Below are 22934 nucleotides of genomic sequence, written 5' to 3'. Positions count from 1 at the left end.
ATTTTTAAGTTGTTTACTTTTTCATCTTGAGATTAAATACTTGCAAAAGATATAATTTCAGTGTACACATACTATATATGAGCCTTAAATATGTTTTGTCAAAACATTATGGCTGCAGGTTTCGCTTATCTAATTTATGAAAATACCTGCCATACAACCTAATTGGCAATGCCAGTCCTCTTGGTCCAAACTATCCACCAAATCAGGCTTACTTATTCTCAGAAGAAGTCTGGCTGCATTTTAAAAATAAAATGAGTATGCTACATCTGCTCCTTGACAACGACATCACTGTACAGAAAAGGTAGAGCCACAGTCTCCCTCAGGAATGATGCATTTTCTACTTGTCAATTTTTTGGATGTCCCGGAGTTGTTGATGTCCCAAGACAATTCCCTCTGGAAACTTTCGGGTGTATGAAACATGAATCTTTTCTTGGTACAGGGGCAGAAGGAGAAATAGAAGATCACAAGCATCTTCTCAGACAGGTTTATTTAGGAAAGGGTACATAAGGACATTGAGGATCTGGAAATCCTGTCTCACAAAGCCCTCACAAAGCCCTTGGTATCACCCAGGAGCATGAGTGCTCCATGTTGAAGATGGCCACTCTACTTCCCCATTGAGCTGCACATTCTGTTCTTCTTTGTCCTCAATGCAGCTTCCATTCTTCTCAACTTCCCCAAACCCTGTGTATGTTTCCTGCCTCAATCACATCTGGGAATATTCTCCCTGCCTCCTTGCCTTTAAACTCTGCTTTCCCCTAATGTCTACAGCCCTCCCAAGAAGTGACTTTACCTTCTCACAATCCAGGGTGGGGAAGTGATTATTATGGTTTCACCCCACCCTTTTGTTAAAACCTCTGCTCTATTGCTAGTGGGAATACAATCTGGCATAATTTCAATGAAGGACATTTTGTTCATATTTACAAAACTTTCAAATGCATATACCTCTACCAAAAAATTCTACTCCCCTGGATTTATCCTTGTGAGGAGCTTAGGGCCAACTACAAGATTAGAGGGCATGTTCTCCACACAAGATGGTCCTCATTTCTGATACAAATTTGGAGGGTTCCTACCCTCAGGTTTGATAATTCACTAAAGGGCTCACAAAAGTCACTGAAAGTTGTTATACTAAATGGTGATGGCTTATTACAGGGGAAGGATAGAGTTTTTTCTTGGAAAAGATGGAATTTAAGATAAGACAAAGAAGAGAAGCATAGGACAGAAACCAGGAGGGCTCCAAATTCAAGCTTTTATTGTCCTCTCCTCATGGAGTCAGCATGTGTCACTGTCCCAGTGTCAATGTGTGACAATACACATGTGTGTTGCTAACCAGGGAAGCTTACCCAAGCCTCAGTGTTCAGAGTTTTTACTCAGGCTCCATGATATAGGTGTGACTTGTTAATTGATTGCCCACGTGATTGAACTCAGTCCCCAGATTGAATCATATGCATGACCCAAAGTCTCCACCCTAAGTCACATAGTCTTTCTGACATGGCCAACCTTGACACTAAGGCTGTTGGGTATGAATAATGCTACTTTAAGATCTGGTGTGGCTAGTCTCCACCTTAAACAAAGATCCTCCTACCTGGTATGACATAAATTACCTTTTAGAAGCCAAAGGCAGAGGTCAGAACTTCTTTCTGTGCAAGATTGAATTCTTTACTACACAATAATGCATATACATTCACATGTGCTCAAAACGATAAATATATAAAGCATATTAACTGCAGCATTATCATAGCAAAAGTTTTGAAACGACCTATCTCACAGCAGAGTAGTAGATGAACAAATTTACATTTATCCAAAGTGATGTTTTTTGGCCAGAAAAAAAGAATGAGGGATCTCATTATGTACTGATATAGAATAATATTTTGCCAATGAGAAGAACCAGTGTTTACTACCATTGTGTGAAAAAATATACAGATTTACAAATTTGCTTGCAAATGCATAAACTAGCTCCAGAAGGATAACTGAGAAACTAGTAATATTGCTTGTCTCTTGAGAGGGCAGCTGAATCACTGGACAATGGGCTAAAAAAGACTTTTCTTTGACACCCTTTTATGTCTTTTGGATTTTGAAGCATGCAACGTATTATCTGTTAGTAAACTATCTTTTAAAAAAAGCCCTGTTTCTTTGAGGTCCGTGCTATGACTAATTCCTCCTTCCCTGCTTGTTGGCTGCAGATTTTGGTAAGATACCCATCATCAAGATAATGCAGTTTCTTTTAATTGCTGTTTTGCTAGGAGATACTTTAAAAAATTAATACAGGAATGGGTGTTGAATTTTATCAAATGGTTTTTCAGCATTTAGCGAGATACTGTATGATTTCCACCCTTCAATCTCTTAATGCACTGAATTACAGTAATAGATATCTTATTGTTGAATCATCTTTCCCTTTTTGGAATAAATCCATTATATGTTTTTCTTTTAATCCACTGCTGAACTCAATTTGCTGGAGTTTTATTAGGATATTTTTTTCATCTATATTCCTCAGCGGAATTGACTAATCACTTTCTTCTAATTGGCTAATTTTGGTATCAGGTTTATGACAGGTTCACAAAGGAGTTGGGGAAATGTTAATCTTTTTCTATGCTGTAGAACAACTTATGTAACATGAAAATTCTTTGGTCTTATTTAATCATTTAACCCCAGGTGCCTCATTTAGGGGCACCTGGGGTTAAATCCCTGACTGCCTTTTCTTTTCTGCTTGTTTTCTTAAACCAATTTTGATCATTTATCTTGCCCTAAACAATTATCCATTCCCTGATTTTCAAATTTATTGATATAAAATTTCATATAATTGATTTATCCTTAAAAAAACCTCTTCCATATTTGCAATTGTTTCTCCTTTCCTTTTCCTAATGTTGTTGTAGTTGTGTGTGCACGTGCACACACGTGTGTGTGTGTGTGTGTGTTTTCTCTTGGTGAAACCTTCTAAAATGCTTTTAAAATTTAATTTCTATTTTATTTTTTAATTTTGGGGAGTTGCTGCAGTCAGGAAACATTAGGCATACCCACATAGAATAATTTGAGGAGAGTTTAATAAAGGACTCTTTACACAGATGTGGGCAGGGTATAGGGAAATGCAAGGGGCTAGTAATGAGGGGCATTATCACTCCTAGACATGAGTTGGTGGAGGGAGGCAGCAGGGACCAGAAGCTGAAAGGAGAGAGTCATGGAAGAGGCCTCCTTTAGAAGAGCTCAGATCTGGCAGTGACAGACACAGGAAGATGCCTGCAGAGATCAAGCTAAAGAAATAAATGTTCTAACCTGACTCTCCTCTCCCTCATAACTCCAGCTGGTGCTCCCCTCTGGCCAAACAACTGGGCACCTCTGGATATAGTACATAGAGATCAGTCTCCCAGGACCAGAGTCAGCTGGAGAAGGGCGAAGATGCTGGGGGAACTTCAGTGTCCTGAAGACTTCCAGCATCTTCACCCTTCTCCAGCTGACTCTGTGTTTTTTGGAGGAACAAATGGAAGATGCTCAGTCCAGGTTGTCCTTCTAAAGAACACAGGTTTGGCCAGGTGCAGTGGCTCAAACCTGTAATCCCAGCATTTTGGGAGGCTGAAGCAGGAGGATCACTTGAGCCCAGGAGTTCGAGACCAGCCTGGGCAATATAGGGAGACCACATTTCTACAAAAAAAAAAAAAAAAAAAAAATAAAAAAAAATTGGCTGGGCATGATGGTGCATACCTGTAATCCCAGCTACTCAGGAGGCTGAGGTGGGAGGATCGCTTGAGCCCGGGAGGTCAAGACTGCAGTGAGCCAAGATTGCACCACTGCACTCTACCTAGCCTGGGTAACAGAGCAAGACAGTCTCACAATTTAAAAAAAAAGGACACAGATTTGATTTTACTGATCTATGCTAATTTCTCTATTACAGTTTTTGGCCTTTATTAATTATTTTTACTAATTTCTTCAGTTCTACTTAATTGTTCTTTTCGTAGATTATTTCTTTCCAATTTTTTATTCCAATAAATTAAAGTAAGGCTAAAAATTTTCTTCTTAGTGTCACTAGATTGTAGATTGTATCACAGATTTTTTTATATATCATGATTTTATTTCTAAGACAATAATTTATAGTTTCCTTTTTTTGGTTCTTAGACTAGGAATTATTGAATTATTTAGAAAGATTTTTATTTTTCCTCTGTACAATTTTATTTATTAAAAATTCAAAAATAGTCAAAACTTGCTTTTGGTGTCCAAAGTTGGCTAACTTTGGGAGGAGGGGGGTTGGGGGTGAGAAATAATGAGGACTCTGGGATGCTGGTAATATTCTATATCTTGACCCAGATGGTAATTACTTGGTGTGCCCTCTATGTGAGAATTCATTGAGCTTATATTAGTCTTCTCAAGTAGCCAGAACAAAATATCATACACAGGGTGGCTCAAACAATGGAAGTTTATTTGCTCACTGTTTTATAGGCCGAGAAGTTAAAGATCAACGTGTCCACCAGTTTGGTTCCTAGGAGGGTTCTCTTTCTGGCTTGCAGATGACTGCCTTCTTGTGACCTCACATGGCAAAGAGAGGAGAGTTCTAGTATCTCTTCCTCTTCTTATAAGGGCACCAGTTCTATCAGATTAGGACCCAACCTTTATGACTTTGTTTAATCTTTGTCATCTCCTCACAGGCCCTGTCTCCAAACACAGTCATATTGGGTATTAGGGCTTCAACATATACATTTAGGGGGGAGCACAATTCAGTCCATAGAGAGCTATTCACTTATGATTTGATCATTTTTCTGAATGTACGCTACACTTCAATTTAAGAAGTGTATTCAGTAAAGTAAAATGAAAGCGAAGATGGTGAGCATCACATATCTGAGTCCCATGGTCACAGTTACTCTTGAAACAGACACATGGACCACATAACCAACTTGCACAGAGATGGACCAGTGCTCACAGCCAGTGGAAAACTCAGGTCCCTAGGCTTGGACTCTTGGCATGACTGCCTGCTTTGGGGCAGGCTGCATCTTCGATCAGTGACAAAGTACTCATTGTCCCTACACAAGATACTGTACCCCGTTTCCTCCCCAGTCTTCTCCTTCTTTGGACTATCATCTCATGGACAGGCTGTGGTCCGGACTTCGTGTGTAAGTGGTTGCTTATTGGCTAGTGGCAGCCCCACACTACATCCTCCAGGTGCTCCTCTTCCACTGCAGCCTTACAGCTCAGAAATGAGAGCATCCTGGAGGAGTGAACTGTGGAGCATCACCTGGGAATCCAGGTAGATGCTTCGTGGGAGGCGCCAGGGCCGGATGAGGTAAGGAGAGAGAAGGGAGGAAGAAAAAAAAGACACAGAAAACTGTTTCAAACTATAGAAGTGGAAAGCTTTTTGAAAAGTGTTACTTGGTTGTTAATTTCTAATTACATTGAACTCTGGTCATTAAATGTGTTCTAATACTTTGTGCTTTTTACAGTTTGTTAATGTTCCCTTCATGACCAAATACATGACCAAAATTTCCTATGTTCCATCTTAGTATAAAAAAAATCATTCAACAGTCATTTATTGAGTGCCTACTGTGTGCCAGGCACTGATCCAGATTCTTAGGATCCATCAATAAACAAAACAAAGATCCCTGCCCTTGTGAAGCTTTCATTACAGTGAGAGGAAATGATAAGCAATACTCATAATAAATAAGCAAACTATAAAGTAATGTTACATGTGCTATGGAAGATGGCAAATGCTTTCCAAAATAATAGAGGAAGGGAAGTGGGATGGGGAGTGCAGTGTGGGTGTACAGATTGCAATTTAACATACAATGATCACAGTAGTCTTCATTGAAAAGATAATATGGAATGTGAGGGAAGAGGAGGGATGTGTATCTGTTTGTGTGTGTCTGCATGTCTGTACAGTTCCTGCAGGACCTTGTATGGTTTTGAGGGACTTTAAGGACTTTGACTCTTAGTAAAATGAGTTTTTGGCATAGGAGTGTGATCTCACTTAATTTTTGAAGTGCTCACACAGATGGATTTGTGAAGAATTGACTGTAGGGGAACAAATGTGGGAGCAGGGAGATGGCTAGGATGTTATTGCCATTGTCCTGGTGGGAGATGAAGGTGGCTTGGACCAGGGTGGGAGGAGTAGAGGTGGGGAAAAGTGGTTGGCTTTGGAATATATTTTGGAGGTAGAGCCAATAGGGTTTCCTGACAGATTAGGTATGGGGAATAAAAGAGAGGAGTCCTGAATCATACCAAGGTTTTGGCTTGAGTGACTTTCTAGAGCTGTCATCCACTGAGATGGGGAAGACTGTGGATGGAGCAGGTTGGGGATAAAATTTAGCAATTCAATTTCAAAAACGTTGAATCTGAGATATGTTAAGTAGACAATTGGATCCATGAATGTGGGGTTCAGAAGAGAGGTCTGGGACGGAGATACACATTTAGAAGCTGTCAGCCAGTAGTTGATATTTAGAGCCAAGAGACTAGATGGGGCTGTCAAGGGAGTATTGCCATCCCTTGGAAGGATTGGTTCCAGGACCCCCAAGTGATACAAAAAATCCATGGATGCTCAAGTCCCTTATGTAAATGGTGTAGTATCTGCATAAAACCTACACACATCCTTCTACATAGTTTAAATCATCTCTATATTACTTATAATACCTATACAAGTAAATGCTATATAAATAGTTGGTATACTATATTGGTTTTTATTTGTATTATTTTTATTGTTTTTTTAAATTTTATTTTATTTTTGAGACAGAATCTTGCTCTGTCACCCAGGCTGGAGTGCAGTGGCATGATCTCAGCTCACTGCAACCTCCACCTTCCGGGTTCAAGCGATTCTCCTGCCTCAGCCTCCCGAGTAGCTAGGATTACAGGCGCCCACCATCATACCTGGCTAATTTTTGTATTTTTAGTAGAGAAGGGGTTTCACCATGTTGGCCAGGCTGGTCTCAAACTCTCGACCCCAGGTGATCCATCCGCTTTGGCCTCCCAAAGTGCTGGGATTACAGGTGTGAGCCACCATGCCTGGCCTATTGTTGTATTGCTATTTTAAATGGTTTTTCCACAAATATTTTCAATCTGCATTTGGTTGAATGATAGATGCCAAACCCATGGATACTAAGGGCTGACTGTAGAGACGGGATAGAATTGCCCAGGACTAAGCTTTGAGAAACATACATGATAAGTCTGGAAGAATGAGAGGAACTGGCAGAGGACAGAGAAAGGGGCACCAAGGAAGTGGAAGGAAAGCTGAGAGGATGGGGTCATGGAGGCTAAGTGTAGAAAAGAAATCAAGGAGAAGGAACATATTATTTGTTTTGAGGGTACAGCATTTGATTTTGTTATGTTGTTGTTTGTTTTGAGACAGGGTTTCACTCTATCACTCAGGCTGGAGTGCAATGGCACGATCTTGGCTCACTGCAACCTCTGTCTCCCAGGCTCAAGCAATTCTCCCACCTTAGCCTCCTGAGTGGCTGGGACTACAGGCATGCGCCACCATGCCTGGCTAATTTTTTGTAGTTGTTGTAGAGACAGGGTTTCACCGTGTTGCCCAGGCTGGTCTCAAACTCCTGAACTCAAGCAATCCACCTGCCTTGTCCTCCCAAAGTGCTGGGATTACAGGTGTGAGCTACTGCCCCCAGCCATATTTGATGTATTTATTGTTATTTGAATCTTGGATATTCTTATTTGTTTCTACTCTGTCAATTTCTTCTTTTTTTAGAGTAAAGTGAAAGTAAGTTTATTAAGAAAGTAAAAAAATAAAAGAATGGCTATTACATAGGTAGAGCAGCAGCAAGGGCTGCTCAACTGATTATACTTATAGTTACTTCTTGATTGTGTGCTAAACAAGGGGTGGATTATTCATGAGTTTTACAGGAAAGGGGTGGACAGTTCCTGGAACTGAGGGTACCTCCCCTTTTTAGGCCATATATGGTAACTTCCTGACATTGCCATGGCATTTGTAAACTGTCATGACACTGATGGGAGTGTCTTTTAGCATGCTAATGCATTATAATTAGCATATAATGAGCAGTGAGGATGACCAAAGGTCATTCTTGTTGCCGTCTTGGTTTTGGTGAGTTTTGGCTGGCTTCTTTACAACATGCTGTTTTATCAGCAAGGTCTTTATGACCTGAACCTTGTGCTGACCTCCTATCTCAACCTGTGACTAAGAATGCTTAACCTCCTGGGAGTGCAGCCAAGTAGGTGCCAGCCTCACTTTACCCAGACCCTATTCAACATGGAGTCCCTCTGGTACAAACATCTCTAATATATTTTCCCCCTCCTTTTTACAAGGGAACTCTTAATCCTAAGGGTTGTAGAGGAACAAAGATCCATTTTCTGTAACTTCTTCAGGCTGAATAGGGATGATGATACTCCTGTCTAAATGCTAGGGTCTCTTGTATTCAGGGTAGAGAGGAGCTCAGTCAGAAAGCATCAGTATGGTGAGGACCATTCATAAGTCTGACAAAAGGTGATATCTGGATGATTAGTAAGTGTTTAATTTTAGAAAACATTCAGTAAACATATCCTGCATTCCTACACAAAGAGTACAACAGCAATATATTCCACAACAGTAAAACAAAATAAGTAAAATTATCTCAAGTAAACTAAGTAAGAAGGTTTCCATGAACTGCACAACTGTTGGAACCAAGCTGATATGGGGTTGCTAGCCAATTCCAACATGTGACCAGAATTAGAATACTGATCCAGATTTTCACATTACCCATCCCCTTGTTTCTTCCGAGCTGCAGCCAGAGATCACTGATTTGTTCACAGGAATAAGCAGGATTAGTCTAAATTGAAGAAAAAACTCAAAAACAACCAATGAGACTAGAATTTAATAACAAGTATACCACAGTATTTGAAACATAATTTTTCTCTCCCCAGTCTCCCATTTTTACTAAAGACAAATCATGGTAAGACCAATTCGGTTTATTATACTTGGTCTGATTATTTGTATAAAGGGCAGCAAGAATAATTATTTTTCACATAGCCTTTCAAAACTGGCTTTGGCATAACTTTGTTCCATAAAAGGAATCTCAGATAAGACTTTGCTAAAAGCTGAGCCCAGCCATGGGTTTGTACTGTCAAATACCTGTGAATTGTAAATTTCTCTTCTCTTGAGATCTCAAGATATTTTGGGGCTTCTGGTCCTGTTAGAAAGTGACATCCTTTATTTATCACATCAGGAACCCTGCACAGGGACTATGTAGACAAGGTATGAGGCCAGTTTTCCCAAGGGACTTTTATTGGCTCTGTGAGTCAAGTTTGATCCCTTAAAGGAAAGAAAGCCATTTCAGTCAAAGCCTTGGTAAAATAACCAGTTTCTCCAATTTGTCCTGTTGCAAAACATTCTTATTGCACTTATGCAAACAACTATATTGCCATAAATTAAGAATACTCACTAACAGTTTCCAAATTGAGGAGAAATCAGGCAGAGAGAAACAAATATTGTCCAAATTTTGTTCACAGGAGTATACTTTACTCAATTGTTAAAAGCTGTAAATAGCTCAAAATAAAAGTTTTTCTTGTTCTGAAAAACAAAACAAAGGATTAGCAACATCTTAAGCAAACAGTCAAGAAGATTATTTCAGTCTTCTATTAGTTCAGTTGATGTAGTTAACTACTGTTCTGTTTGACTTCATGAACTTTTTAAATTTATTTATTTATTTATTTACTTACTTACTTACTTACATACATACTTATTTTTTGAGACAGAGTCTCACTCAGTTGCCCGGGTTGGAGTGCAGCGGTGTGATCTTGGCTCACTGTAACTTCCACCTTCCAGGTTCAAGCGATTCTTGTGCCTCAGCCTCTGAGTAGCTGGAATTATAGGTGTGTTTCACCATGCCCAGCTAACTTTTGTAGTTTTACTAGAGACAATGTTTTGCCATGTTGGTCAGGCTGGTCTTGAACTCCTGACCTCAGGTGATCCTCCTGGCTCGGCCTCCCAAAGTGCTGGGATTACAGGCATGAGACACTGTACCCTGCCTGAACAGTGCCTCATGAACATTTTAGCTCTCCATGAGAGTCCTGAAAACTTTTTCCTCTATTCTATTTTCACAATCTCCAAAGTTATTAGAAACCTGCACTCAAGGGCACCTATCAAAGTTCTATAGGTGATTATAAACTACCTTTGAAGAGGATCAAAATAAGACAACAATTGTCTGTAGATGACAAAAAAGTCTTTGGACAGCCATTATTAACACCACAATTGATTAGGAATTTTTATTACTTCTGTGGCATACAGCCATTTTATATAACAATTATAATTATTAATAACATATACTAAGCCATATCAGAATTATAGAAGTTTCATGTAATTTTGGAACACTTATTAGTAACATATTTATACAGATACAACACAAAGGAAGCCAAGCACCATTTCATACTTGACAATGCTTCCTGTGTGATTTTTATACCAAATAAGCCAAATATATCTTTTTTGGACTTTAGGAGACCTAACATCTAAAGAATTAACTAGGTCAGAAAAGACATAATTTATAATTTCATTTTGGAAATTTTGTCAAATATCAAATGTTTAAAACGCTTGTTTAAAATCAAATCCCAGGTCGCCATAAGTCATTTATTTGGCCAAAATAATAACTCAAAAATTTTAAAAAGGCAAAAACCTTTACTCATTAATAGAGAGAAGAGTTAGTTTTCCAAACAATCTTTTATCTTTCCTTTCTTTTTCCTACAGTTTATTCAAGAGGCAAACAAAAATTCTTCATTGTTTTAATATTACATGGAAATCTTGTTTGAGAGAAAGCCTAAATTTCACCTTTGCATTAGTGCACTAATGATGTCAAATCCAGTTCTTAATAAAACCATATAGACAAATCTATCCAATCTTAATCAGTTTGACTACAAGGTAAGATTCTCATAAACCTTTTATGACCCTTTACAATTTTCTGTTAAAGAGCAGATCAGTGCTCTAAGAATACCCTGTTGTGCTTTTATTCCAATGTTCAATTTATGGAAAAACAGAATAATACGACTTTAAATTTAGCCAGTATGTTCACATACAGAATTTCTTTTACAAGATTAATCTTTCACAAACCTTTCACAACTTGCTGAAACCTTCAGTTTTATCCTAACTTAAAACAATCCTTTAACCTTTTAATCTAGGCCAAAAAATCCACATTCCCATGCCTTCTTATCTTTTACCAAAAACACATTTTTATTTTCCTTACACACCTTGTGTGTAAAATTGTTTCTTCAATAGTCTCAATTACGTATAACAATGTTAACTCTTAGCAATTTTTATTTTTGGTGAAAAACCTGGTGAGTAAGTGATTCTAATTATGTACCAGGTGTGGAGCTTAAGACAACAGACAGGAGTGCAGATAGGGTCTGACTCTTTCCACCATAGCGAGGGGGCATGGCTAACTCCACATGTTCCCAGGCCTTACCTGGAATCTAATAGCTCCAAAGCAGGTAAGTTGGACAATTTTCAAAAGTCAAAGAAGCAGTTTATGACCTTAAATCATTTAGCAAACCTAATATCTGACTAATTCTTAGTAATAGCTGCATAATTTAGACCAAATGTCTTTATTTTTCTAATAATATCTGTAAAACTGTCTTTGGGAAAAGATAATCAAAGTCACATGAACTAAAAGGTATTGCAGTTTTTGTTTTTCTGACAAAATATTTGATGTAAGCACTTATTACTTTTAAGCCAATTAATCAGAGCTCTGTCATATATAAACATCACATGCACACATATAAATACACAGAAATTACATCAGCATAGTGTGGGAAGTAATTAAAATAAAAAAGAATAAATAAATATACAGAAAGACAGAAGATCCAGTAGTTGTAAGGCTTTTCATTTGCCAGTTTTAGTTTTTAAGTTTCTCTTTAAAACATGCAGTTTCTAGGGCCCAATTAGCAGGTACAGCTGGAAGGCAACACAGATTCTCCCAAAATTAAGGGTCCCATTTTTATATGAGATCCTGGATCCCCAAAAGAGGGAATCAGCCCATCTCCATGGGAGTCTTATCTCTCAGTGGAGGTGGGGACATTTCCATACCTTCTAGGTGGCCAAGAAGCATGCTTCTCTGATCCAAATGGGCAGAGCCGTGTATTCCCCTATAAATGCCATTAGCTATCCCCAAAAGTGTATTTCCTACCTAGTTATTACACACCAAAGCTCTCTCATAATGTGAAGTAATTTCTGATACGCCCAAAAGTCAAAGACGTCAGATAATGCAATGCAAAACATAACAGAGACTTAGATTTTGACAGGAATCTATCCACTTTCAATTCCTGGGGTCTCATGAGGAAAACAGAGGGGTTTTTTTCCCCAAAATGGGGTCTGTGGTGCCTCCTCTATTTTTCCCAAGAAGTCCCAGGCTGTTATAATTTTTCTTAAGTCCTCTCACGTGTGCACAGAGAGTGGCAAGAAGACAAAATGGAAAAAAATAATTCAATCAGCTGAGAAGAGAAAAACCTTTTTCTTCAGAAAAATAATATCTAAGTAGGGGAAAAAAACATAAAGGCCTTTTAAGTGTACGTATAGCTTGGATATCCACTTTTAATTAAGTTGACTTTTTTTTTGGACTGAAAGTGTTTTTCTTGTCGTTTTTGTGTCTTTTTAAAACATATATATATTATTATACTTTAAGTTCTAGGGTACATGTGCACAACGTGCAGGTTTGTTGCATATGTATACATGTGCCATGTTGGTGTGCTGCACCCATTAACATCATTTACATCAGGTATATCTCCTAATGCTATCCCTCCCCACTCCCCCCACCCCACAACGGGCCCCAGTGTGTGATGTTCCCCTTCCTGTGTCCATGTGTTCTCATTGTTCAATTCCCATCTATGAGTGAGAACATGTGGTGTTTGGTTTTTTGTCCTTGTGATAGTTTGCTGAGAATGATGGTTTCCAGCTTCATCCATGTCCCTACAAAGGACATGAACTCATCATTTTATATGGCTGCATAGTATTCCATGGTGTATACGTGCCACATTTTCTTAATCCAGTCTATCATTGTTGGACATTTGGATTGGTTCCAAGTCTTTGGCTATTGTGAATAGTGCCGCAATAAACATACGTGTGCATGTGTCTTTATAGCAGCATGTTTTATAATCCTTTGGGTATATACCCAGTAATGGGATGGCTGGGTCAAATGGTATTTCTAGTTCTAGATCCCTGAGGAATCGCCACACTGACTTCCACAATGGTTGAATTAGTTGACTGTCCCACCAACAGTGTAAAAGTGTTCCTATTTCTCCACATCCTCTCCAGCACCTGTTGTTTCCTGACTTTTTAATGATCACCATTCTAACTGGTGTGAGATGGTATCTCATTGTGGTTTTGATTTGCATTTGTCTGATGGCCAGTGATGATGAGCATTTTTTCATGTGTCTGTTGGCTGCATAAATGTCTTCTTTTGAGAAGTGTCTGTTATATCCTTCGCCCACTTGATGGGGTTGTTTTTTTCTTGTAAATTTGTTTGATTTCTTTGTAGATTCTGGATATTAGCCCTTTGTCAGATGAATAGATTGCAAAAATTTTCTCCCATTCTGTAGGTTGCCTGTTCACTCTGATGGTAGTTTCTTTTGCTGTGCAGAAGCTCTTTAGTTTAATTAGATCCCATCTGTCAACTTTGGCTTTTTTTGCCATTGCTTTTGGTGTTTTAGACATGAAGTCCTTGCCCATGCCTATGTCCTGAATGGTATTGCCTAGGTTTTCTTCTAGGGCTTTTATGGTTTTAGGTCTAACATTTAGGTCTTTAATCCATCTTGAATTAATTTTTGTATAAGGTGTAAGGAAGGGATCCAGTTTCAGCTTTCTACATATGGCTAGCCAGTTTTCCCAGCACCATTTATTAAATAGGGAATCCTTTCCCCATTTCTTGTTTTTGTCAGGTTTGTCAAAGATCAGATAGTTGTAGATGTGTGGCACAAGACAGGGATGCCCTCTCTCACCACTCCTATTCAACATAGTGTTGGAAGTTCTGGCCAGGACAATCAGGCAGGAGAAACAAATAAAGGGTATTCAATTAGGAAAAGAGGAAGTCAAATTGTCCCTGTTTACAGATGACATGATTGTATATCTAGAAAACCCCATCGTCTCAGCCCAAAATCTCCTTAAGCGGATAAGCAACTTCAGCAAAGTCTCAGGATACAAAATCAATGTGCAAAAATCACAAGCATTCTTATACACCAACAACAGACAAACAGAGAGCCAAATCATGAGTGAACTCCCATTCACAATTGCTTCAAACAGAATAAAATACCTAGGAATCCGACTTACGAAGGATGTGAAGGACCTCTTCAAGGAGAACTACAAACCACTGCTCAGTGAAATAGAAGAGGATACAAACAAATGGAAGAACATTCCATGCTCATGGACAGGAAGAATCAATATTGTGAAAATGGCCATACTGCCCAAGGTAATTTATAGATTCAATGCCATCCCCATCAAGCTACCAATGACTTTCTTCACAGAATTGGAAAAAACTACTTTAAAGTTCATATGGAACCAAAGAAGAGCCCACATTGCCAAGTCAATCCTAAGCCAAAAGAACAAAGCTGGAAGCATCACACTACCTGACTTCAAACTATACTACAAGGCTACAGTAACCAAAACAGCATGGTACTGGTACCAAAACAGAGATACAGACCAATGGAAAAGAACAGAGCCCTCAGAAATTAAGCTGACTTTTAATCAAATTTCTTATTACCTGACTTCAGGCAGGCCAAACTGCCAATATTTCCGGCTTTTGAACTTTACCCAAAGTAACCTTACAGGTGCTTGGAGAAAGGAAGACTCAAGAAAGGAAGTCAGAAGTTGTTCATGGAGGGGAAGAGAATAAACGAATGGCAAAAGTCACACGAATATCAAATCAGAAAGGACTCATTCCCTAAGCTGAAAATTGAACCCAGGTTGCCAATGTGAAAAAAGAAAGCCTTAGCTACTAAGCTACAGCTTTGGGCAGTTTCCATTGCTCTTTCCAGAAGGAGTCTAGAGCAGTTAATTTTGAGCTTTCAAAGACTTTTAACTGCTTGAGATAATTTTTAAGGTTATGACATGAACTCCAAAATTCCTGTCCTCTGGATGGTGGAGACGAAGAGAAAGTACCACCATGTAGGTTACAAGGTCAAAATCCCAAGGACATAAAACAAAATGAGAGAAATTTCAATCAGTTTTGTTTGTTTGTTTGTTTGTTTCAGGGACCTGCAGCAAAGTTTGTTACTGACCAGTTTGTTGGGCTGGCTTGAACAGTTGGCTTATGGGGTCCTAAGGGGTGTTCTATCCTAAGATATTACAGAACAATATGACAGAACGATACAGAAAGACACACAAAACACACCAGATTAGCTACAACTTAAGACTAGCCCCACAAATCCTTTTTTCCCATTAATTAAAACTTTGCAGGGGAGATAAACAGTTTTATCATTCCTACAATGTGTTTGCACAGAGAAAAAGAGGAAAGGGAAAGGAGAACAGCGTTGCCTGCAGTGGGGTGGGGAAAGCCAGGAGCTCAGGGAGGCCAGAGAAAGACCTGCCCATCCCACGACACTGAATCAAAAGTCCAGGTAGCTGCTTGTCTATCACAAAGGGATCTTTTTCCAGCAGTCCCATCAGCTCTCAAGTTTCCCCTTTTTGGGAGGAAAAAGCTCCCTGTGTCCTGTGATCCTCTACATGTCTAACCCTGTCACCCATAGCCATCAGCAAAGAGTCCAAGGCAGATTAATCGAAAGAGAATAGCGGTTAACACCCCATAGTGCCAAATCCATTTTTTACCAAGAGGGACTTTATTGAGAGGGGCCTCTAACCCCCTTAATTTTAGATAGGACTCCTAACCTTCCTAAGTTGGGCCTTCAACCCAAGTTCGGTCAAGCATCCTTGCTTTTTATTAAGAGGGTGTTTGCCTGGGCCTGCTGGCTCATGCCTGTAAACTCAGCACTTTGAGAGGTCAAGACGGGTGGATCACTTGAGGTCAGGAGTTCAAGACCAGCCTGGCCAACATAGCAAAATCCTCTCTCTTTTAAAAATACAAAAAATTAGCTGGGAGTGGTGGCACACCTGTCATCCCAGCTACTCAGGAGGCTGAAGTGGGGAATCACTTAAGCCCGGGAGGCAGAGGTTGCAGTGAACAGAGATTGTGCCACTGCACTCCAGCCTGGGTGACAGAGCAAAACTCTGCCAAAAAAAAAAGAGGGGCTTTTAACCCACTCTGTCTTAGGAGAGACTCTAACTCCTCTAAATTGGGCCTTTAACACAATCCCATCCTTTAGCCAGGTAAAATATATCCCACCACTTATACAAAGTCAGCCAAATGGTGCTACAGTCTCTTACCTTTCGGTCGGGGATCTCCTCAGTATAATCCCTTTGTGGATTGCCAGGAAGAAGTTACTGGAAAGGGGTCCCAATCCAGACCCCAAGAGAGGGTTCTTGGACTTTGTGCAGGAAGGAATTTGGGGTGAGTCCATAGAGTAAAGTGAAAGCAAGTTTATTAAGAAAGGAAAGGAGCTGGGCGCGCGGTGGCTCACGCCTGTAATCCCAGCACTTTGGGAGGCCGAGGCGGGTGGATCACAAGGTCAGGAGATTGAGACCATCCTGGCTAACACGGTGAAACCCCGTCTCTACTAAAACTACAAAAAATTAGCCGGGCATGGTATGGTGGCGGGCGCCTGTGGTCCCAGCTACTCGGGAGGCTAAGGAAGGAGAATGGCGTGAACCTGGGAGGCAGAGCTTGCAGTGAGCCAAGATCGTGCCACTGCACTCCAGCCTGGGTGACAGAGCAAGACTCCATCTCAAAAAAAAATAAAAATAAAAAGGAAAAAAGAAAAGGAATAAAAGAATGGCTACTCCATAGGCAAAGCAGCCTACTCTGTCAATTTCTGATATTTTAAATTTTCTCACAGAGATTGTAGATTTGTCTATTTGTTCTTTGTATATGTATCATTTTTGTTTTTTATATTTTAAAACTTTAATGTTAGGTACATAAAGTTTCACATATAATTTTTCTACCTATTAAAATGTATTTATGTCCCTTTTGGGTATTCCTTGAGTGAATTTAGCGTAATGGAAAACAAAAGAAGCAGGGACTCAAGAAATGGCCCTGAAGTAAGAGACTGAGGATGCTGGAGAAGCAAGCACTAAGATTTATGCCTGAGAAGAGCTATAGCATTAAATACCGTTGAATGAAAGCCCCCCAGTGTCACCAGTGCAACCTATTGATAAGGCAATTTTGAGTAGATTGTTTTCTGTGGTAAGGAAGAACACCACTGCAACAGAGCTTTGGCTGTCTTCAAGAAGCAAAGACAAAGCTGGATTTTATTGAGAATTGGGTTTCATTTAAATCATGGCCAAGTGCGGTGGCTCACGCCTGTAATCCCAACAATTTGAGAGGCTGAGGTGAGTGGATCAACTGAGGTCAGGAGTGCGAGACCAGTCTGGCCAACATGGCGAAACTCCATCTCTACTAAAAATACAAAAATTAGCCAGGCATGCTGGAGGGTGCCTGTAATCCCTGCAACTCCGGAGGCTGGGACACAAGAATCACTTGAGCCCAGGAGGCAGAGGTTACAGTGAGCCAAGGTTGCGCCACTGCACTCCAGCCTGGGCGACAGAGTGAGACCCTGTCTCAAAACAAACAAACAAAATTAGGTCTTTCAATGAGATACTTGATTAAGATTGAATAAGGATCATGACTAATGGTTTACAATTGGTGGAAACAGGATGGTAAGGATTTTGAGGTGATGGGATTGGAGAATCTTAGGAAGTAAGCTATCTGTTGATGCTTCTTATGAGGTATTTTTCAGGATGATGAACTTTCAAGTTATTTTCCTGCACTGGAATCTCCTAGCATGGCAAAGTAGTGCAAATGAATATGATAGAAAAGCAAGGTCATGTTAGTGTAGACAGTAAGCTGTATGTGTATGTGTGTTCACACACACGTGTGTGGGTATTCATTTCAGTTCCTCAACACAAAATCTAGCTGGGCCATTTCTCACAGTGGATGCAGACCTCCAACCTGACTTCAGGGCATCTGCTGACTCTGGGTCCCAAGGCTTCCAGTTCTTCCCTCCCTACATGAGTCGGTTGATGTTCCACATCTTCATAATTCCCGTAAAGTTATTGAGGTCAACAAAACTGCAATTCCTAATAAACAAGTCCATCTTAAAATAGAAGCATAAGACTTTGAGCAATACTGCTCATTTTTTATCTGAAATGGATGTCCTAATAGACATAATCTTTTGTCCATTACAGACAAATTAGATTTGGAGTTTTCAACTCCTATTTTATTCAGTTACAGGCTTTCAGTTACAAATGATTAGTGGCTGTAATTGTCCTGATTTCACCAGATAATGCTTCCATTTTTAGGAAGCAAAGGTTTCCTGGTAGATGTGGCACTCTCCAGTTGCTAAGCACAATTTACAGCATTCAGCTCATTCTCTTAATGTTTCTGACAAACCCCAGGCATTGTTGAGAAAGATTCAGCTTACAATGTGGCTTTAATTTATTATAATAATAATATTATTATTATTTGTTTTTTGGCCTAAAATGGTCACCAAGGTACTAGAGCAGTCTTTTTTTTTTTTTTTTTTTTGAGATGGAGTTTCACTCCATCTCCCAGGCTGGAGTGCAGTATACAGTGGTGCGATCTCGGCTCACTGCAACCTCCACCTCCCAGGTTCAAGCGATTCTCCTGCCTCATCCTCCCTAGTAGCTGGAATTACAGACATGTGCCACCACGCCCGGCTAATTTTTGTATTTTTAATAGAGATGGGTGGGGTCTCACCATGTTGGCCAAGCTGGTCTTGAACTCCCGACCTCAAATGACCCACCCACCTTGGCCTCGCAGAGTGCTGGGATTACAGGCATGAGCCATGATGGCCTAGGGAAGTCTTAAAGAGAGTTTATATTTATCTCCCTATATTACTATAATTGCTATTATTTTGCTTTCTGGTCATATCACTTAAGTAATTGAATAACTGGAAAACAAATTGAGTAAAAGCTGCTATCCAATACATAGACAGAAATTATACATTACCTAATGAAAAATGTGACCAACATCATCTTCTCTGTAGTGAGATTGTGGTGTCCCACCAAAATGCCTTTCCCAAGGCCAGTGGACCCACCCAGTTGCTGAGAGTGTTGGTGACTGATGGCTTACAGCTGCCCCCATCACAGAATTGCCCTGGCAGAACAGGAGCCATCTGGCCTGGAATATTTCACCCTCAGCCCATCCAGGGCAGCCCACAGCCATTGAGTGACTGACATTGGGGCACACAAGGTCCACCCTCTTGCCTCAAGCTGGGACTAACCCTGTAGTACAATTCATGCTCAGAGCTTCCCATGAGATAGGCAGAGGCTGACACCAGCTGAGCCCAATTTCGTGCTTAGCTCTTCTCCCTCCATCCTATTTCTTTTTCTCACCTTTCTTCTAAGAACACTCCCTCCATAAATCATATGTATCTAATCCTTGTCATCTCAGTCTCTGCCTGGAGGCAATCTGGCCTATGACATTCCCTGCACCAATTGTTGTGTGGGAATTCATGAAGAAGACAGGGACTAGTCTGGCTAGAATCATAAAAAAGTATATTGCCCTTAAAATGCAAACTCTATGAGGGCAGAGAGAGTGTCTATTTTGCTCATCAGTGTTCCTAGCACTCAGCACTTAGCACAATGCATGGCACATAACAGATGCTCAAGAGGTGTCTTAGTTCAGGCTGCTATAATGAATCACCATAGACTGACTTATAAAGAACAGAAATTCATTTCTCACAGTTCTGGAAGCTAGAAGTCCAAGGTCAAGGAGCTAGCAGATTCAGGATTATCTGGTGAGGGCTGGTGTCTTGATTCATAGATGATATCTTCTCACTGTGTCCCCACATGGCAGAAGCGATATGGGAGCCCTTTGGAATCTCTTTTGTAAGGGTGCCAATCCCATTCGTGAGGGTTCCACCCTCATGACCTAATCACCCCTCAAATGCCCCCACCTCCTAATACTATCAAATTGGGAATTGGGATTTCAACACATGAATTTTGGGGTGGGGAGACACAAGCATTCAGTCTATAGCAAGAGACATCATGAGATCAAGCTATGTGGTATCTCAGGTCAAGATTTATGGAGTCACTTTGATAAAGATGCACAGTATAGGACCCTCTGTGATAGAATATCTTGTTTTTGTCTATCCTGAAATTTTAGCTTTTATTCTGGGCAACCACCCCTCTCTGTCTTTTGGTTCAGCTGGGGCTGACCTTACCCCAGTCACTGCCTAACAGTGAAGACAATACTGAGGAAGGCAGAGCTGAGGGCATCATTTGAGCTCCTAGATTCAGGTGTGACTGAAGACAGCTATAACTGTGAATCTTTAGTTTAATGAACATATAAACTGTCTTGTTATGCTTAAGTTAATTTGTGTTGTGTTTCTGGCACATGTGATCAAAACAGTCTGGACTAATAATACATGCTTCTATCTACATTGCAAAATATTTTCTCATTCAACCTACCCCCATCCCTGTAACTAACAGCCTACATCCCAAACAGCTGGGGAGGAGAGAAGACAGCTTACCTATGAAACCTGATTTTTCCTGCTGAATGAGAGATACTTACGCAGGGGAGGGTGCATGTCTTCAGGTATTTTATCTGATGATATCTGCATCTTTGAGCAGTATCTGAAAACCCCTTGTCCAGTTCAAAATATTCTACTTGACCTCTGGGACCAGAAAATACTGCACAGAATCCTAAAGCAAACTTTCTTATGTTTACCTCAGAGAAAAAGAAGTAGGAGTTATATGGAATGTGCTTAGGTAGATTTGGTTTAAATTGCTAAATAGATCAAGAAAAGGAAAATCACCCCCAAAACATAAAAACCTAGAACTGGTCATCGAGATTTGGCCATAAAAAAGCTTTAATGAACTTTTCTTCCTAAGTAAGATAAACTAGTGGAGCCAACTCCATTTAGCTTCCCACTAGAGTAAGGCTTAGGAGACAATACAGTGAAAGAGCCACAACCCCACAATTCTAATATGTCAGCCACAGCCCACTGAGTTCCCACATGGATCCAACAACTGAACATGAAGAACAGGGTGGCAGCAGTTTCATTACAGGAAAAGAGGGGTATCAAGGTACCGTCCTCTTCACACTACGTACATTGTTCGTTATAACAAGAGTCCTGTGGTGGAAAAACAGACTGGGTAGAGAAAGTTGGTGCCACTGATTCTTTCTTTGGCTTCTTTGCACTAACACTCAAATGCCTGGCTTCTTCTCCCTTTTTAGTTGAGTGCTTAATGTATTAAACTATGTGGAAGTACAAAGGAGCGTGTTAGTGACCATTTCTTTGGCCCAGATTTCGCTAAAGAAATCAGAAATGCCTTCTAGAACAATCTGGTTTGTCTCAACTCCATTTGAATATCTTCTTTTAAGGCCTGTGCTATCAAAAAATGCTTTGATTTCCTGTAAAGTTGCCTGATAGACTCAGTGGAAAGGTTTTTGTTTTGCTTTTAAAGTAAACGAGAGAAATTGATTCCAGGTCGAGTTAAAGAAGGGCTTCATTAAGGAATCAAGTGATTTTCAGGGGTGAGTTATAGAGTGATGAATATTCCTTAATAATTGAGTCTCAGAGGCCAGGCGCGGTGGCTTATGCCTGTAATCCCAGCACTTTGGGAGGCTGAGGTGGACGGATCACCTGAGGTCAGGAGTTCGAGACCAGCCTGGCCAACATGGTGAAATCCTGTCTCTACTAAAAATATAAAAATTAGCTGGCCATGGTGGCACACACCTGTAGTCCCAGCTACTCAGGAGGCTGAGGCAGAAGTGCTTGAACCCAGGAGGCAGAGGTTGCAGTGAGCCGAGATTGCGCCACTGCACTCTAGCCTGTGTGACAGAGCAAGATGCCATCTCAAATAATAATAATAATTGAGTCTAAGAACTTATTGTGAAGATTTGACCAGAAAAGTGACAAAAATGGCTATCTGTGGGAAAGTTCTAATACACATGTTTTGGTTAAAAAATATTAGAAACAACCTAAATGTTCATAAATGATGATGAATGGACAAACAAATTGTGGTATATCCATATAATGGAATATTATTCAGAAATAATAGGAGAAAGGAAGGATGTATACGTGCACAAAGTGGATAAACCTCAAAAGCCAGGCACAAAAGGTCACATATTGCATGATTCTATTTATATGAAATACCCAGAATAGATCAATTCATAGAGACAGAAAACAGATTGCTGGTTGCTAGGCACTGGAAGGAAGGGTATGGGGAGTAACTGCCTAATGGGTATGGGGTTTCCCTTTGGGGCAATGAAATGTTTTGAAACTAGATAGATGCAGTGGTTGTACAATATTGTGACTATTAAATGCCGCTGAACTGTTTCCTTTAAACGGCTCATGTTATGATATGTGAATTTTATCTCAACAAAAACAACAAATGACAAGAAAGGGTATCCCTACGTCTATTATCAACCCTCTTAAGGAGCACGGCAGGGACAGGTGTATTTCCTGGGCTTAGTGCTGCAGTTGGAGCTTCTATCCCAGGCGTCATCCAGTCTGGGTAGGAGGAGCCTCTGGTTTGTGGTGTGATCAACCTTGATAGCCCTCCTTGGATCCCTGTTCTGAGCAAAGCTGCCTGGCCCCATGGCCCACTACCAGCAGTTTCCATCTATTCCTTGCCCTGAACAACTCCCAACATGGTATCCACTAATTTGTTGCCAATCTCCAGAATCACAAGCCTCAAAAATTAACAAAGATGGGGTGGGGATGACAGTTCGAGGAAAAGAAATGTAAAGTCGTCAGAGGCCAGTGACTAAGAATAACTCACTGAATGCTTTCACACACTTTCATACACTAATTGTGAGAATGTAAATTGACTCAACAATTCTAGAAAGCAATTGAGCAATGTGTTTCCAAAGCCTTTAAAATGATCATATCCTTTGACCTAATTATTGCTCATCTATACATTTATTCTTAGGAAAGAGATGTTAATTAGACAAAGAATCAGC

At 40.1% G+C, this 22934-nt stretch overlaps 1 annotated feature.

The window, feature by feature from the left end:
• Nucleotides 22412–22461: an enhancer, noted in NCBI's record as "active region_19715". NCBI's record gives its function as "activates an Ori minimal core promoter by ATAC-STARR-seq in GM12878 lymphoblastoid cells {active_cell/tissue: GM12878}" and the evidence as "EXISTENCE:reporter gene assay evidence [ECO:0000049][PMID:35858748]".

The sequence above is a fragment of the Homo sapiens genome, chromosome 3, assembly GCF_000001405.40.
Source record: "Homo sapiens chromosome 3, GRCh38.p14 Primary Assembly".
Taxonomy (NCBI): Eukaryota; Metazoa; Chordata; class Mammalia; order Primates; family Hominidae; genus Homo; species Homo sapiens.
Note: the sequence above shows the minus strand (reverse complement) of the source record. Positions and strands in the feature narration are given on the sequence as shown.